This window comes from Homo sapiens, chromosome 12, assembly GCF_000001405.40.
Source record: "Homo sapiens chromosome 12, GRCh38.p14 Primary Assembly".
NCBI lineage: Eukaryota > Metazoa > Chordata > Mammalia > Primates > Hominidae > Homo > Homo sapiens.
The window spans coordinates 78,174,687-78,193,986 of record NC_000012.12 but is presented as its reverse complement, the minus strand read 5'-3'; the positions used below and the strand labels follow the sequence as shown (position 1 = coordinate 78,193,986).

The 19,300-nt window shown below is 34.3% G+C and overlaps 1 protein-coding gene across 31 annotated transcripts in view; it reads right to left on the bottom strand.

Annotated features, from left to right (window-relative positions):
• NAV3 (neuron navigator 3) overlaps positions 1-19,300 on the bottom strand; it is a 641,149-nt gene that overhangs the window by 19,024 nt on the left and 602,825 nt on the right. For 12 of the 31 annotated variants that reach the window (XM_047429817.1, XM_047429819.1, XM_047429826.1 and 9 more), the window contains 8 exons: positions 18,560-18,681; positions 16,674-16,846; positions 14,305-14,458; positions 12,942-13,116; positions 8,289-8,386; positions 5,644-5,739; positions 5,210-5,378; positions 3,768-4,003 (listed from right to left, as the gene is read on the bottom strand). In XM_047429817.1, coding sequence (XP_047285773.1) covers positions 3,768-4,003; positions 5,210-5,378; positions 5,644-5,739; positions 8,289-8,386; positions 12,942-13,116; positions 14,305-14,458; positions 16,674-16,846; positions 18,560-18,681 — 1,223 coding nt within the window. Of the gene's footprint in view, positions 1-3,767; positions 4,004-5,209; positions 5,379-5,643; positions 5,740-8,288; positions 8,387-12,941; positions 13,117-14,304; positions 14,459-16,301; positions 16,368-16,673; positions 16,847-17,527; positions 17,549-18,559; positions 18,682-19,300 lie in introns of all 31 variants that reach the window. The other 19 variants (XM_017020166.3, XM_047429823.1, XM_017020167.1 and 16 more) reach the window with 3 other exon arrangements.

The following is a 19,300-nucleotide window of genomic DNA, read 5'->3' as shown; positions in this document are numbered from 1 at the left end:
AGAGAAAAAAACTGAAAAGCAATTTACCAGGGAGCAGGAAACAAGGAGAAAATGATAACATGAATGTCAGAAAGAGAGAGAGAGAGTGGGGAGGCACAAAGGAATTGAGTTTTGTAATTAGCAGGTCACTGGGTCATTTTTGGACAATCAGAGCCTTTAGGTTCTAATTATAATGTGGCTTTCTTTCATCTTGAGAGGGTAGTGGATCCCCTGGGAATCTGATGGTAGGTATAAAGCAATGGATGTAGAAACAGGCAAACATAAATAAACTTTTTTCCTATAACTTAGAGGAGTTTTTCACAGATTCCCTTGAAATAACTTCATGATACCCACTCTAGCTTGATGAAAATGAAATCTTAGATTGAGGCACTGATGCACCGGCATTAAAAGTCTTTTTTCCAGATCTAGTCAGGTAGAAGGAAACAGGCATATCTACCAGATGGGAGTTGGCAATGAGATGAATCCCATACTCTGAAACTACAGGTGGAACACCACAGTTACATAAAAATGGTAGATCACTGCTTTCTCAGATGCTGACTCCAGACACACTAAAAAGGAATCTATCAGGTACAGTTTTCTGATCTTTTCCAGCCTAACATTCCAAATGGCTTCAGCTGACCATGTATTCTCTACTAAATCCACCTCTAGCCCTCTGGGCCTACTATATCGAATGTCACAAAGTGTAATTGTTTATGTGTACTGCTCTCAATCAAAATATTCCAGCTGGCAGCTTGAGGGAGGGCTTGAAGTGTGGGAAGAGGAACAGAATGTAAAGTGCAGAGGTACTGAAAACATGAAAAGATGTTTTTCATTTGATGATTTGTGGTTTGAGTTTCTTCTTTTTTTCTGAATCAGTAAGTGCTTTTTGGATTTGTCTCTTCAGTGCTATCTATGGCACAGCATAAAATGCGTCAGCATTTACACAGCTCCAGGTTTTCAGGAACAGGATTTATTATTTCATGCCTCATTATCATGTTACTTCAGTAAATCTACACTGTTGGTATCCCTAACACAATCTCAACTTGTCATCCCCTCTTTTTTTATATTTATCCTCACTTACCCTCACCCCCAACTCCCAGGAAAATAGTGGGTATTCTCTGTCAATTTGGCAAAAATTGTCCAAATTTTCTGGCAACGAGTTTGTATTCAGCATTACTGATAGCTTGTTCATATCTTCAAACCATAAGGAATAACATAAAAAATAAATATTTTTTAGTTATAATTTGTGTTTTCTTGGGAATGAATGCTATTGTGATTTGTTCAAGAGTTTCTTTCTGGGCTGGGCACAGTGGCTCATGCCTGTAATCCCAGCATTTTGGGAGGCCGAGGCAGGTGGATCACGAGGTCAGGGGATTGAGACCATCCTGCTAACACAGTGAAACCCCGTCTCTACTAAAAATAAAAATTAAAAAAATTAGCTGGGTGTGGTGGTGGGCACCTGTAGTCTCAGCTACTCAGGAGGCTGAGGCAGAAGAATCGCTTGAACCCAGGAGGCAGAGGTTGCAGTGAGCCGAGATCGTGCCACTGTACTCCAGCTTGGGCAACAGAGCAAGACTCTGTCTCAAAAAAAAAATAAATAAAAATAAAATAAAATAATAAAAAATAAAAAAATAAAAACAGTTTCTTCCTATGACTGTTTCCTAGCATCATTAGCTCTGCCAATGCTTGGCAATGCTTTTCCCCTGCCCATTATTTTGCAATGAAGTACTGAACTGGCCTAATAATGGCACAAATAGCCTGTACTCTGAAAAAGCAAAAAATAAGAGTGTCGGAAATATTTCATAAAAAAGTTAATAGGACACTAACATGTTCTTAACAGAACATCTCTAAGCAATAAACTTTTTTTCCTAAGCTGAAATATATACATACATATATAGATAGATGGATAGATAGACAGATAGATATTTTTTAGGGAAAGCTATGTTTTAAAATTAATGGGAATTACCTATTTTGTTTTAGCATGTTAACTACATTCTAATGAAACTTCATCTATTTAATTCAAAACGATTTTAAGTGATCCTCAACTTTATCAAAATGTCATGGTCTCCTCCAATAAATCTATTTTGCTCTTATTTTCTAAACACTTTTTTATTCCATAAAAAAAGTACCTTGTAAAGAGTTTTGTCATACCAACATTGAGGAAAAAACAAACATTGAGGATGACTAAGAGGCCTTTCAAACCTTTCATATTTTTTGGCTGAAAATATTTAAAACTGTGCTAAAAGGCTTTTATATAAAGATATGAGGAGACAGAATTCACAGGAAGCATTAAACATGTCAGCTGAAGCAAACAGACAATTGTGCTCTTCCTACTTTTGCTCAGAGAAGAGCCAAATACTCTACCTCAGGTTCTATGTCTTTCTTTAGATGGTGGTTCAACCACATTTGAATAGGTCTGAGTTCCAAGGAAATATTCAGAATTTATGTATTGCATTTATTTAACTTTAAGAGATCCCATTGTGCTTTATGTACATCGTTGTTTTTGAAGGACACATATAAAACGGTTTTGAACAAAGATGTGTGTGTGTGTGGTTGTATGTGTATGTGCGCGTGCACTGTGCATATGTGTGTGTATGCTTGTGAGAGAAATCTTCACTGGGAGCCAAGGGCTATAATTAAAAATTGCAAGCAACTCTTATATCGTGCTTGCTACTTGCGCTGTTCTCTCTGTCTCTCTCACACACACACAGACACACACATGCATATACACACTCATTTATTTAGTCTTTAGAATAGCCCTACTATTTCCCTCATTTTACAGGTGAGAAAATTAATACTTTTTGTTCATTAAGCTATATGCCTGGCTTATTTCAAGAATCTAATGGGTTTGGGCTGCTCTTGGGAGTCACATTTATTTCTGAAAATTTGCAGATTTCAGGTTTCTGAGAAACTGGGACAGTTTAGATCATTGAACCAGGTTATCCTTGAAAGAGTAATATGACCCAGTATAATTGGGATTCCCTCAAGGTATTGCTTATAATAGTTGCATTTTCCCGACAGAAACTTTTAGGTTTCATTGATTCAGACTTTAATAAATAATTACAGGTAAAACTAGGTTAGTGTTAAAAATATGTTAGCCATCAACTATTTCCTTTTTAGGATTTTTTGTTTTACTCAGAAAATAAGAAAGTACAGGCTACGCCGTATAGGCCCTCATGCCTTTTTAATATCTGAGTGTTCAGGCTGATTACTATGGCACATTAGACCGTAGATGGTGGTGAAATTGAATGTTGTTAACTTTCCTAAGGTTCCTAAACAAAAATTTTAGGGAGATGTGACATAAGCAAATTGCTGCTCCCAGAATATCTGCTTGGAATATTCTAATTATTGCCAAATCTCCATTCCTGCAAAACCCATGTTATTTCCTACTTATCTATTAAGATCCAACAAACTATTACCCCTTTATAAAGCTCTGATGCCTCCAAGAAAAGTTATTCTTCCTTGTTGCTTGTGCACGGACCTCTTTCTACTGTAACAGTTTCTAGGTGGATGTCTAAGAGAAACCATGCCATAGGAGACCTGTCATATTATTCTGTATATTCCCAATATCTTAGGGAGTACCTGATAACTGAATGTTACTGAAAATAGTAGTCTTGTTCAAATTCATGAAACAGAGTTTGATCACTCACCAGGTTACAATTCTAGTAAAAAAAAGATGGATATTCTTTTCCATGTACAACATGGAAGTCTCACAAAATCTTATAATTTGATTGCTTAAAACACTTATGGATAAATTGTAGCTGTTCTCTTAGAATTCTGTAACATACCTTACTTGACTTGTGGTCCACATTAAAAGTGGCAATTGCATCCTCTGTTTTTTTCCTTCCAGATTTGGTTATTACATATTCAGCAAGTTTGTTTGCCAAATAGGTCTTTCCAGTACCACTCGGTCCTGAGAGTATAATTCTGTGATGCTCCATCAACAAGTTAAAGTACCTTTGGGTAATTGGTTTAGGAATCAGCGTATCAAAAACAAAACTGTCCAAACTATTTTCTTCTACCCCTGAAAGAAGAAACAAAAAAATAGCATGATTTATTGTTCTACATAAGCTAGAATTTAAAATATCATGCTAAACAGCAACAGCATTGTTAGTCATAGGAATAGAGTCCTTGAAAAATAATTTCCTAGATATTTCTATCCCACAAATATGCGTTGCCATTTCAAGGAAGAAAATATATCAGTAATATGGCAGAGTGAACATCTAAACAAAAGCAAGCTGTTTCTTTTTCTTCAGGCTTCACTCCACTGTCTACTTCTTGTTTTCATTTATGTTTCCAGAGAGAAATGGAAGCATTATAAATGCTATCATAACATCTTTTATTGAAGATGATTATCTTTGTTAAGAATAAATGTGAAGACTATAAGAATAAATGTGAAGAATAAATGTGAAGATTATATACACACACACCCATATATATATATATGGGTGTGTGTGTGTTCTTTCTTTTACTTTCTCTTCACCCCATCTCCTTATTCTCTTCTATCTCTCATTATGCATCCTAGTTGTACAACCACTCAAGCTTTTGAAGAATACAAATTGTTACGTTTGGCAAGGAATTAAGAAAGGAGCAACAGTATCTCATTTTACGAACTCAATTACCTTCATCATAAAATCAAATATTGACAAATTCCTCTATTAACTCACAGTTTATATAGATGTATCCTGATTCTTTAACATAAATAAACAAGGAATTGTGAAGACAAAGATGCTTCAGATATTACATTAGCCTATAATTAATCACATCATCTAAAGCAAAGAAAATTCTCAGAACTTTCCATCCTTGATTCTTAACTTCTATTCCCTCTTCCTGGGGGGTATTTATTAGGCATACACATTTTAAAATCAAAGATATATCAATGAATATGTAACTTTGGAATACACACTAAATGTTTTGAATCCTCCTGTAATGAAGGATGATAATGAAGAAAATCCAGAAATTTGAAATTCCTAAATCACATTCCTTTTTGTGAGTCTTGAATCTTCAAATCCCAGAACCCAAAGAACTAAATTTCTTTATATTCTAGTGTTTTTAGTAGGATTGTAGTATTTAATAGTTTTGGTATGAAATGAGTCATATTGATTTTTAAAATACTACAGAGTTTTCAAATAGAAAAATTTTAAGGGAAACTGGCCAAAAAGGGGCGGGGGGCAGAATAAAATGTTGCTAAAAATTATATTTCTGCCTTGCTTTTCATTATTGCTTTTACCTTTGAGGTTCACAGTGATGATGTTATTATCTCCAACAAGGTATCCACAAGGCAGCAATTCAGGCACTTCTAGGTTATGGGATCTAATTAAGTCTCCTATACAGTAGCTAGCAATGCAGTCAGAGCTCAGACCAAGGCTAGTGGATGTATCAATTCGGAATACATATTCCTACAATGGTACACACAAAAAATAAAATCAAAACAGAGGTTCAACTCATCTACAACAAATACATAACTCACAGGGATATAGAGCTAGTTGTCAAGAATATTAGAAATGGGTAATATAAGAACTGTTAATATCAAATAGCACAAACAGAAAGCTTTCCTTATTTGAGGAGAGGAAAAGAAGATGTGTCTCTGCTATTGAAGTTATGGAAAACAATTAAAGAGAAACATATTTGAAAAGTACTATTAGGGTGTCTTGCACAACATACCTTAAAGAGACGTCTTATTACACCATCTAAGACATCCCACTTGGTTTTTCCACTAACACCAATGGATCCTATCAAATATGCCTGAGATTTTTGGTCCTAAATAAGAACAAAATAAAGTAAGATAAAATCCAACCGTGTATCTTTTTTATTACTACATTTTCTACTAAAATTAGTTAATGTAGTTGTTGTTAAGACTAAACTATTTGTTAAACCTGTGGCTTCTATAGTAACAGACACACATGGTGGATTATATAACATAAAACATATTTCAGCCAACTAACCAACCAAACAAATAAAGTAACAGCAATAGCAACAGCAACAAGAAAGAAAGAGATGAGATAAAGCAGCATGTCGAGGAAAACTGATCCATGACCTGTTCTGTAGAAGGCAAAGGTGAAGGAATCTGAAAGAATACTCTTGCATTATAATGCAGTGCATACTTTCTTAAAGAGAAGCAGCTTGGTAGGAGGGAAATGGTGAGAGAGACAGAACAGAACCATATTATATGAATTCTAGAACTTTATCTTACTATTTTGTGATCTTACCTTTGATAAGTCCAAAACTCAGTTGTTTTATTAATTTTAATCTAGAATCCAATCTCGCTTTAAAATGTGTTATCTATGATAATATAAGGTATTTGCATACCTACAAAACAGGTTCCATTTTGAATTTATCAGAAATTCTCTATTTAAAAGACCTTGCCAGAGAAACCTACAGGATTCGTTTCATCAAACAAGTAATTATTTTATAATAAACATAATGGTTCCAAATCTATCTTTTTTGTAGGATGGGATTTTGAGAAATTTCTACATATATTAGAAAGGTAAATAATTCAAAATTTGTAGTCTAGCTAGAGCCTCTATTATGATGACCAGAAATGGTTAACGAAATAGTGATTATGATTCCAGTAGATATAATTAGATAGTTGACATATTATAATCCTGGTTCTAGTCACCAAGTATGTTATCATTAACGGGTGGTAGAATAATCACTGAGTCATGAGTTAGAAGATATGGATTCTATAACACATAATACCTACCACCTAATTAAGAAATGTGACCTTAGGTAAATCACTTAGCTGGCTCAGACCCTCAATCTCTTAATATGTAATATTTAGCACCATAAGGATAAATGGTTATCAAAATTATTCAGGTATAATCTGAGTTAGAATCTAATACCTTTTGCAGAATAAGTTGAGAAATCCACAGCTGACAATTGTGATTTTTGTTACTATTGTTATGAAATGATATTTGTGTCTCCTCAAAATTCATACATCGAAGCCCTAACTTCCAAATTGATGGTATTAGGAGATGAGGTCTTTGGGAGGTAATTAGGATTAAATGAAATCATAATGGTGGGACTTTCATGATGGGATTACTGGGTAAAGTAGATAATTCAGGATTTGTAGTCTTTCTCTCTTCCTACCTACAGACACTGAGGTAAGACTGTGTGAAGACACAGCATGAATTCCACCACCTGCAATGCAAAAAGAGAGCCCTCACCAGGAACCAAATCAGCTAGCACCTTGATCTTAGACTGGCTAGCCTCCAGAACTGTGAGAAAATAAATTTCTGTTGTTTAGGCCACCTAGTCTGTTATTTTATTATGGAAGTCCAAGTAGAATAAGACAAGTACTTTCATGGAAGCTTTTTTAGAAAAAAGTGTTCAAAGGCATTGTCTGTTAGAATTACTGTGAACAGGAAATCTTATTTTTCAGTGTGTTTATAACCCAGTTAAAATTACTGCTTATGCAATACCTTATAAAAAGCTGCTTTTAAATCAAAGTTAGTTTATGTTTCACTAAGAGTATTACTGTCTCTCACATAAAGACCCACTTGGGAAAAGTAGGTACACATCTGCAGCTCAAGCAGAAAGTTGATGGTATTGGAATCCTTGGAACATTGGCTTAAGGTAAGAATTCACAAGTGCTATCTTACTTTTCAAACTTAAGTACTTTATTTTAAAATTCTAAAGAATTTTTATTTGCTTGATGTAAAAAAATTGGATACTTAGAAATTTGTATTTTTGGCCACTCAACTAAAATTTTAACTTAAAATTTGTTTTTGTTGTTGTTTTAAGAAAGGGATAGAGTCAGAATGGCATTGCCAATTTGAAGGCAATATTTCATTGCAAAAAAATTAAAATACTTGTCTGGTCATCTAGGACCTTGCTTAAATAGACAAGTAACATCAATGGAATTTGTCCTACCAAGTTCAGTAGAACATGTGTCTTTCTGATTTCTAAAATATTCATTTAGTTTAGAGTCTTCCCTTTGTATAAAGACCATATTGACAGCTCTAGCGACTGCACATCATAAACATTACCTATAACAAATAAGTGAAACCAAAAGAATATGTCAGACAAGATGTTTGCCAAAGAAATAACTATTTTTTAAAGTTTTAGAAATGAGGGGCTGTTAATATTATTTTCAGTGAATGAATGTGAGGTACATGTAAGACACATTTCTACCTCTATGATGATGTCATCATTTTATTGTCCTTTTCATGTTTGTATGACATGTTAAGCTAATGCCAATCCACAATTGTTGTAGGATATTTACCAGATCAAATATTCACACATAAAATACACTTGACTCATGGTAATTCTCATTGTTAGTAATAAAGAGTTTAAGATTAAAGAAGTACCTTTGCTCGACCATAGCCCTTGCTTATGGAGACTATAATTTTCACACTGCGGCCATCTTTATGTCCAGTTGCATCACCAGCATCATCTAGCAAAATATCTATCAAATTTTAAAAGAAAGACATACACAACAGTATAACATTAGCTCAGATTTGTTTACTGTCATTCTTTTCTCCCTCATAGTTTTATATCTTTCAATGGGATTTGCTTCCCATTCTAGCCTAACTGATTTGAAAAGCCTCAGCTTTCCAGAAGATGAATTACTGTGGTTGGGCTAAAGTTTCAATCTAAGAATTTATTTCTGCTTGCAAAGATCTTCACTCAAGTGTTGGGCCACTCACTGACTTTAGATGAGGAAATAAGAATTTTCTTTTTCTATTACACATAGGTCTGAGTAATACCTGAGTAATATTTAGTCACCATTATAACCATGACAAACTGACAGCCATCTGATTTTTCTATCCAATCTAAAATATCCAAGCTCAATATCCATGTAATTTATAAATGTAAAGGTGCTGAAATTGACTGTCAACTGAAATTATTTTCAAGCATTTGACACAGCCAGCTATATAACTACTCACCTTATCTTTATAATTATTAGGTACTGTTATTGAATTTCAACTGTGGCATTATACTGGAATTATGATTGCTCTCCGGAATCCTTTATGCTAATAGTTTCAAAACCAAAATAGTATTTCTAGTAATCAGCTAAGAGTTACAGAAGCATGATAAAGTTAGCTACCTTTAAAATATCAGCCTTTAAATGGTGATTAAAGATTAACTTTCAAAATATATTATACCAGATTAATTTCCAATTTGGAGAATTATTAAGGCAAACTATTCCAAATATATGCTTTCCTTTAATAATAATACTATCATAGAACCATGCTTAATATTAAGACAATGTTCTGTGGATAAATGAAACTCCATTACATTCTAAAGAGCACATGTTCCTGGTGAAAAGAGGACTCAACTGCTCTGACAATAAATTTATAGAAAAAAAGATTACGACTATAGCATCATAGAAATCAACACTCTAATAAGATGGCCTCCAAAAATAGAATGGTTTCTATTATCTTAATAATTAAGTATATGTAATTTTGAAAGTAAGCAATAAAAATACTCTAAGATCATAACAATTAAAAACAACTTTCAGAGCTTGAGAACTTTTAGAACTTTTAGAGCTTTGCAATAAATTTTTAAATCATCAAAGATAATCTCCTGCACTGGAGTTTAATTATTTTCCCAAGTTAACATCTTAATAGTCTTTCACCTTTTCACCTACTCCACTCAAAAATAAAACTCTTCCTTAAGTGTCATTTTAATTATCTTGCTCCTTTTTAAGAAGTTTAGAGTGGTTTACCATTGGCTATTCACATCTAGACTTCTGGTAGTTTGTGATCAAATTACTTTAGTACTTGTCTTAATTACTCATAAATGCTCAAAAATATTTGACCAATATTTATTAGGTATAAATGGTATCAGAAATTTTGCTGCATATTGGGAATGAATACCAAGATGAGAAAGAAAGTGAATTCCTTGTTTTTTTGGAGTATGTATTTCAGAATAGTTTAAGCACTCTGCTAATATAAACCAAACAATGAAACAGAAAGTAACTGAAGGGAGCCTGCTCTAGATAGATAGGTCATCCTGGAAGGCTTCCTTGAAGAAGTGGTATTTGGAGATAAGACCAGAAGGCTGAGGAATGCTAGATAAGTGAAGAACAAGGGAAAAAGATTCAGTCAACAAAAACAGTGCAAAACCCTGAGATGTGTAAGCTGGGTATGTTAAAGGAACACAGAGATGTTTAGGGTAGCAGGAATGTAGAGACAAGGGGAGGGTGAGGAGTAGTATGAAATGATGTGGATGGAAATAAGTATGGACCAAATCACACATGGCCAAGTAGTCCATAGCAAAGGAGGTTGGCCTGATTGTTGATCCACATAAGCTGCTTAAATTTGCCTTGGAATATGTTATTCATTTCATGCCATATTTACTTCTAAAAACTACACTTACAATATGAAATTTCTCCTGACAACAGTAGGATAAATATTTACCAAAGATGAGTGAATAACTATTCTTTGCTTTTATTATGTGGCTATTTAAAGCAAAATTAACACAATAGTGAAAAGTCCAGGTCCTGGATTCATCCAAGCCAGGGTTTGATTATTAGTTCTGCTGCTTACTAGTTTCATGATCTTGAACAAATTGTTACAGTCACTTTCCTAAGTCTTGGCTTCCTCAGCTATAAAATGGGGCTTTAACAGCACCTTCCTGGTAGAGTTATTGAGAACATAAAAGATAATACTTTTAAAGCACTTCATCCTCAGTGTTTACTAAGTTTTGCTCTTCCAGCCATTATTTGTGTTTATTCTAACTCCTTCTGTTGACTGTGGGTGGCTCACATCATGACTCCGAATCTCCCCAGTTCAGAGAATATTGACAGGATGGTCACCTGATGAAACAACTCCAGGAAAAACAGCAAGATTAATGTGAGAGCCTTCTGTATTTTTGTTTGTTTGTTTTTGTTTTGTTTTGTTTTTTACTAGAAAATAAGTCATGGTCCTCTGTCTATATTTTGAAGGAAAAATTAAAGAGGTCTGCCATTCTGGCTATAATTGAGTAAAATTCTGGCCAAAAACTGAAGACTTCTGAAATGTCTGTCTTTACTGGATGCAAGGAACATGCAATTAATATTTCAGGAACTAGATATTTGCCAATTATCCTCTCTCCTGCCTACTTTCTTTATCTTAAGATTAATCATGAAACTTAGAAAGTCTGTCTGTTAAAAAGCCCCAGCATAAAGGCAGTTTTGATTTCCAAGTGTTGAACCCACTCCACAAGAGTGAAAGTAATGAAAACAATATTCTGGTTGTGTGATTTAATTTTTTTAGTTCAGACATAAGTATCACTATTGAAAAATAATTAAGGAAATAAGATATATTAAAAATAACTTAGGGAATGGGTAAAAAAAGGTATTAAAAAAACGTAAAACTTGGCTCCTCCTAAAAAATTGCCTTAAATTCTTAATCATGGCCATCAATGTGTTAAGACCAATAAACATAGAAATTGTAAATTTAAACTCTTTGATTTTATATTTATCTTTATGAGTTCTATTTTTCCTAGATACTAAGTTTTTTTTATATGTGTCTGTTTTTTCTAAACCACCTTCAGTATTAAACTTGCCTCCTTCAAACCTTATCATATTTTCATAAAATAAAACAGAATTTTATAAAAGGCAGTGAAACCCTACCATTAGTCTGACCTATAAGGTACTGGCCTTTGTCTTTTCCTAGGAGACAAGCCTGAGGATCCAGAAATGCACTGGTCATTATGAGATGTAGATCTTACTTCACTTCTCTGTCAGGTCCATCAGCAACAAGCCAACATAGAGGATGTTGTTCAGAACTGCCAGATTCTATACATTTAAACATTTGCGTTCTTTCTTTTGCAGAATATTTTGTTGAGTGTGGATAATACTTTATGTGTAATTTACAAACTCAAATTACCATCCACTTCCACAGTCTTATTTTACCTAATGATCTATAAGTTCATTTAATTCTGAAATCTCTTGCTTTTTACTTGGCTTCTGACATTAGTTGTACTTGATGCTTATTCTCAGAATTTATTTTCTTTCTCTAATCCCCACCAGAAGTTTACAAAAGTTGTTTTCTTAAATTACAGGGAGTGCCCACTTGTCTTTTACATATAAGATGAAGGCCATTATTTTATATTATGAAGAGCAGCCATAATAGCAGAATTTTTAACATTCTGTCTTTTTAGAAGAGATGTGATTCATTGGAAATGTAATCAATATCAGCATGCCATGTCATTTCCCTTCTCCTTCTCCTTCTGTATTTTAATATGATTTAAGGCAAGCAGTGTACTATCTCCATTCTATAATGGAATCTAACGTTGGCTAGGAACATACATATTATTGGTTTCCAAGCGTCATCTGGTGGCCGTGCTTCACAATTACCATAGATCCTCATGTAAATATTATATAGACTAAATTCTCTATCCTTGAAATGATTCTCTTGAATGAACTGTTCCACAGAAACAGCTACACTTTATGCTTGAATGGTTCATGAGATATTAAGATGACATTATGTCATATGATTCTATTTGCAATCAAATCAAAACTGTACCCTTGTTCCATCACTAGTACTGTGTTCTTTATCTTTGTTGGAAATTTAATAGAGCTGCAGACTGGGTGACAGTAGCATTATTGTTTTCTCAGAGCAGCATCACACAGGTTCATCAAGTCAGATTTAGAAAATAAAGCCTGCTACACTTATAAATGGGTTTTGCACACTTAATAAAAGTCATTGGGGTTATTATTATATCCATAAGTACTAATTATCATCACTGAGAGTATTTCTTCATCATCAGAATCATGGAGAAAGTACTTCCTAGGGAAAAGTGATTTCTTAAAAATATTATGAAGACCATATCTCTAAGACTGACTTTTGGACAGAGAATGTGCTTTTAAAATTATAACTAAGTAGACTAGATTTATAAGATCAAACTAGGACTATTTCTGAGAATTAGAGTGTAACATTTTTAAGAGTACGTAAAGTTCTCCAAATTCCAGGCTTCCCACCCGTTAACTCATGGGTATGCTGTGATTCAGGCAAGCATGTGCACTAAATCACCTGAGCTAACAGCCTCTGTGATGTTCAAATTGTTTAGAGAAAGTCCTAATGACTGCCTGGAAGATGAAGAGGAGGTGCTGCTTGAGGATTCTGACGGTGGCCGAGTAGGCTTAGCTGTGTTACCAGTTTCTGCCTTCAACCGGTCATTTTCAGCTTTCAGTATTTCAATTTCATTCTGTTATGAAGATGGAAAACATGAAAAAAACTGAGTTGGTTTGATTGAGAAAATAGCACCAAGTCTTTTATCAGAGTTAATTAGCTTGTTTGTTAAATAAAACATGTTAATATGTTAAATAAAGAAATATAAGATATGAAATAGGATTTCCTTCCCAAGAAGGAAATTTAACCTTTTTCTCTCTCACACATTATACATTCCTGAATTCACAAATATAGACAATCCAACCATTCGACATGCTTATCATTATTTTTTAACTAAATCATGAGGACTTGGTCTCATTTGAATTAAGAAAAATATGATGAAATCATTCATAACACTTCTCATTTTAAAGGTGATGTTAAAATCTTATAAGCATATAATGCCATTTGTAATATTGTTATAAATCTGTAGACAGTTGAAAGACAGAGCAAAACAAAAATAATGTCAATAAGGTGATTTAAAATTACTCCAAAATCATATCTAACATCTGAAAAAGTTTCTTTTTTTCCTTCCAATCGGGACACTAAGCTCATAAAAAAACAACAAAAGTCTTTAGATGAACATATACAGTGGCAGATGAATCTGCTCAGCAATGAGCTTTTCTTATTGCAGTCATCTGTGGTACCAAGTGATTACTGGTATACAATAATAAAATGAAAACTTAGTCTGAGCACAGACTGGTTCTGAATTTAGCCTTTAGATGTTTTTCAAAAAAATACACAAGCCTTACTTTTACAGATGGCATTCTAAATCACTTTTACTTCTGTATTCAGAAAGCTTGTGTTGAATTTCTATAGTTTCCTCATTACTTTTGTATTTCAGTAGAAAACTGGTGAAAGTATGTGAAAATCAGATTTCAAAAGAACAGGCAAAAAGCCAAAATAAAAGTAAATGATGGAAAAGTGAAGAAGCAAGAATTGTAGTAGCTTCTCTAAAAGCTTAGCTCTCAACCTGAATCCAATTACTAGTACAGTATCCTGAATGGTTCTTGAATACAACTTGCCAGTTTGCACTCCCACTTCCAAACTTGGATTTGACAAAATTCTCAATTCAGTACTAACAGATGAGTTGCAAAGACTGAATAAACAGAGTACATTTCTAAGGTGGGTTTCCAAGTGGAATTTATTCTGTGTTAACCAAGAGAACAGAATAAGCAGCATTTTTTTGTTTCTCCATTTTATTCCTTGAAAGTGCTTCAGTACCAACCTGCATCCGGTTCATGGCTTCCCGGATCTGATCAAGATGATGAGCAGAGCTGAGGGCCTCCAGCCGAATATCCGTTAATTTTAATTCCTTTTCTCTGAGCTCGCTCTTCAGCTGCAGAATTATCTCTGCCTCAGCTTCTGTGCATTCACAGATCCTGAAGAAGGAAACAAACAGAATCAGTGGCCTGGGGAAGCCAGAGGATTAAGAAAAGCACTGCCTCTTTTAAAGGCTGCACTGCAATATTCTCCAGCAGGTACAGATATGGTGTGCTGCTGGCAAAACCTAGAGAAAAGGAGAAGGAGTTTTACAAACGGTTATGCATTCACAGGTTCAAAACGGAAGTAGCTTTTTCTTTTAATCTTTTTTTCTATTTTTTAAAGTTTAAAAATAGTCTACTCTTACTGAATATAAAGTAATCCTAAAAATTCTTTTATTGGTGATATTTATAGGCAGAAAAGTCATAGATTACTACATTTCATTCCAACATTTTCAAGGGACTTAAACCTCTATTTGCAACATGTGACTATTCTTTTATAAGAGCAGTTATTACATTCTTAAAATGTTGATTTCTTCTTTTGTAAAATTGTGCAAAAAAAAAGCTTTGCCACAATACTGTCTTTAATTACCATAAAAATCCAATATAAACATTGTAGAAAATAAATTAGAGATATTACTTTTGGACATTTAAATAATGGGTGAGTTATATAACCTCCCTACTGGGCTCAGCTGATTTAGGAGATCACAGCTAAATCAAAGGTTTCAGCCCCTGTTAGCAGGCTAGCTGAGGGCTGTTTGAAGGAAACACATTGTATCCTTGTTGTGTTTTTATTGTTTTGTGGACAGCTTCGCAGGAAATTTGCCAAAAAAATTGTTTTATATTAACTAACATATTTTCCATTTAAAATTTGACAACTAGTTTACTGGCCACAAAATGACAGTGACATGTTCTTCCTTTCTGCATAAATGATAAAATTATGTAGGCAAAGCACAGTGGCCCTGTTCTATATGAGTTCTATGCTAGTTGTTGTCATGGGCATACAAGGAAATTAGATTTAAATAGTAAATAACACAGAGAATTATCTCACCAGAACACTTTTCTATATTCGAAATGTGTTCGTTCTTGTACAGTAGTCCCCCACAATTATAGTTTATCCACAATTTTAGTTTCTGTGGTTTAAGTTACCTACAGTCAAACATGGTCCAAAAATATTACAGTATTTTGGGCCAGGTGGGGTGGCTCGCACCTGTAATCCCAGTACTTTGGGAGGCCGAGGTGGGTGAATCACTTGAGGTCAGGAGTTCGAGACCAGCCTGGCCAACATGGTGAAACCCCATCTTTACTAAAAATACAAAAAATTAGCCAGGTGTGGTGGTGCACGCCTGTAAACCCAGCTACTCAGGAGGTTGAGACAGGAGAATCGCTTGAACCCATGAGGCAGAGGTTGCAGTGAACCGAGATCTTGACATCGCACTCGAGCTTGGGTGACAGAGTGAGACTTTGTTTCAAAAAAAAAAAAAAAAACACTATTTTGAGGAAGATAGAGACCACATTAATATAACTATTATCAGAAAATATTGTTGTAATTGTTCTATTATTGCTGTTAATCACTTATTGTGCCTAATTTTTAAATTAAATTTTATCATATGTAGGTATGCATGTATAGAAAAAAAAAACATAATATACATAGGGCTTGGTGCTATCTATGGTTTCAGGCATCCACTGGGGGTCTTGGAAAGTACCCCTGGTGGATAACGGGGGGCTACTGTACTACCAAAAAGTGGGCTATCATAAAAATGCTAGGTTAGATTAACTAATAGAATCAAAGAAAACTGGATTGCAGGTTGATTTTAGGAAACCAAATTTTAGTTGAAAAAACAGAAAGAGAAGGTATTTATTGTTGAAATGCATGTGAGTGATTTTAGAAAAAGCAAAAGCAAACACTACTTAGGTTAGAACCTGGATCTTTGCAGTATTCATGCATCGCACTCCACTTTACCGAGATCTATGCTTGTAGATCACAGGGCCATTTTGTCGTTTCTTTGGTGGCCAGACAAGGGGTGACCTGTATGTACATACAGTTAGACAGATACATGGACAAATGCCCATGAAAAGAAGTGAGAATCATGATTCAGAAAACTGGAGAATGAGATCAAGAAACACTTGAATTCTAACATATGAAAATGAAAAAGAAAAATGAAAATGAAAGAAACCAGTGAAAGAGAAATATGAAAAGAGAAACTAATGCTGTCCATCATTCTCAGAAAAATCTGAAAATAATTGGTACAGATATGGTTAGAACATAAATAAGGCCTTCATCTAAAATTGTTTTTAAAAAATATGTCTGCATTTTGCAGAAGGAGCAACTTACGCTGAAGCAGATTGTGAGGGCTTCATGGATGCTGAGCCACAGTCACCAGCATTATGGGGTAACTTGGGGGATGCCGGAAGGGATGAATCAGTAAGCTCTTCAATGTCAGAATGTGATGAAGGAGGCTTGGTGGACTTTTTCTTCCCAAAGGCTTGTTTGAAAGAACTTCTCAGCTGAAACAAGGACAGAAATTACCCTTCTTGTCTATTTGCACTTGGAGAGCTTTTGCTTTGGGGCGTTAGTTTGCAGATGCCATCCTAGCCACTGCCTGGGGTCAGTATGTACAAGCAGAGTATTAACAATTGCAGCACAGTATCTCTAAAAAAAAAATGATACCGTGTTTTGTGTGTTCATTTTATTCTTGTATTAATCCAGCGCAGCGCAAACATGGAAGGCTTTTAAATAGTGCAAGGTCAAGGGCATGGCTGTCAGAGCACTCATTTAAAACTAAGTACCTTGAAGGGATCTCCATTCCCAATGCTTCTCTCTTCAAGGCAATTTGTTTTAAATGGCCACTTTAGCGCTACAATCAAGTCATGTCCTGCTGACAGTACAAACTTAAAAAGCAAAATGAAATCAAATTCACCTAACACTTCATTAATTGTGATTTTTCTATTCAAATTTTCCAACCCCAGACTACTCAAAACCAGAATTGGTATCCCCTACAGCTCTATTCAGAAAGTGGTTTTACATCTCTTTAAAATTTGAGATTAAAATGAAAAGACACAAAGAAAAGACATACAAGGTAATCTGTTTTAAAAGGTATAAAAGCCTACTGCCAAAATGGATAGCATTCATGCCAAGGTAGGGTTTTTTTATAGATGCATGCCAAATTGTCCACGGTTTATATTCACCTCACTTCCTCTAGAGTTCACCTTGCAGAAACATGAAAGAGTGTGGAATTACAAATCAAGGGAATGAAGGCTGATCAGTATTTTAAAATATTACCTGTATAAACATTTTTTAAGATAAAAAGATATTTCTTTCATTATTTGTAGAAAGCACTCCAGTAAAATCCTCTGATAATTATGTCTGGATTTCATCAAGAGTTGTATTTACTCAAAATCTACATTTTTTTTTTGGTATTAAAAGAAATCATTGACTCCATTGTTTTTAAATTTTTCGCAGTAACAGTATCTTCCCCTGGGCTATTTAGCTATTGATCAATATCATAAATTATATCACTAGCAAACTTAAGGTACAGTTCTGTTAAAGTGCATTTCTATATTTCTGCTATATTCTCTTGGTTAAAAACATCAAGCAGACACTAATGTGGTTGATTTCTTTTAGGGTGAAACTATTCACACGGTAAGCCCTGTCGATTCCAAAGGTGGAATGAGAGTTTCATTGTTTATTCTTTCCCTTTATTAACTCCCATTCTCCTTTTCCTCCAAGACCACTATCACCATCATCATCACCATCATCATCATTTTTTCACTTTTCCTTCATCTCTATGCCCACAATAAACCCCTATTTTAAGCCATTTATTCACAGATGTTATCTTATTTTTCTTTAGTATAACTCTATAGTTATACTACATAGTTTGTATAGTTATACTATAGAAAAATTAGATAACATCTGTGAATAAATGATATTCACAAATAAATATAGTTGCTATTAACTGTCTTTTTATTGGTTAGAAAATTCAGGCCCCTCAAAAGGTCTAGATATAGTGGTGATTCAAACCCAAGTTTAGTCCCAACATTAAAATGTATGCTTTTCAGTACATGCCACTCCAATTTTGGTGATGAGTGCAGCATTTGAGGTCTCAGTAGCTTGAATGGGACCCTTTGTAAACTACTGCAGATCACTAAAGCCCCAAAGAAAAAGGCCTAACACATTATGCATTAATAAGCTTCTGAATTAGATGAAGGATGGTAACTTACCCAGTTTTTCTTTTTCTTCTTCTTGGAGTCGGCATCATTACCACTGCCAATACTGGAATGGCTTGTGGCACTGTTGATACTAGAAACACTTTCAGAGGAATGCTGTCTTCTGATGCGAAGATCTAGCAATAGAGGGAGAGTATCACATCGGCTCATGAAGAGTCTCGATCTGAACAAATAAGTCTTTTAGGTCTTTTGAGAGGCAGTTCTCTAATAAAGGTCAACAAGGCTTTGTACAGATAATTTCAATGCAGTTTTGACTTTAGAAGTTTAATAAAGTACAACCATATTTGTTTTAATTAACTGAGTTATCTACATTAAGATTTAATGAGAATCTCATATAAGTCCATAGCCCTGGCAGTTTAATGAGTTCTCAGTTTTGTCTAAAATTAAATGCTATGCTAGTGATTTCTACTGAATACCTGGATCAAGCAGCTCTTCCAAAATGATTTATTCTGAATGATTAATTTAAAAGAGTAAATGGAAACTCAGAATGAGAATTAATTGTGCTTTTTAATATTTGTGCTTCAAATACAGTTACTAGAGCCAAATGTATTAACTTTCCATTTCATAGAATCATACCATATTAGAGCCAAAACAAAACCTGAAGTCATGTAAGCACATAATCTCACAGATGAGGAAACTGAAGTGAAAAGAAGTTAAGTAACTTGGCCAAAGTCAAACAGCCAATGAAAGGCAGATCCTCCAAAGAAAGCCTAGGTAGACTGAGTTTGTGAGTTA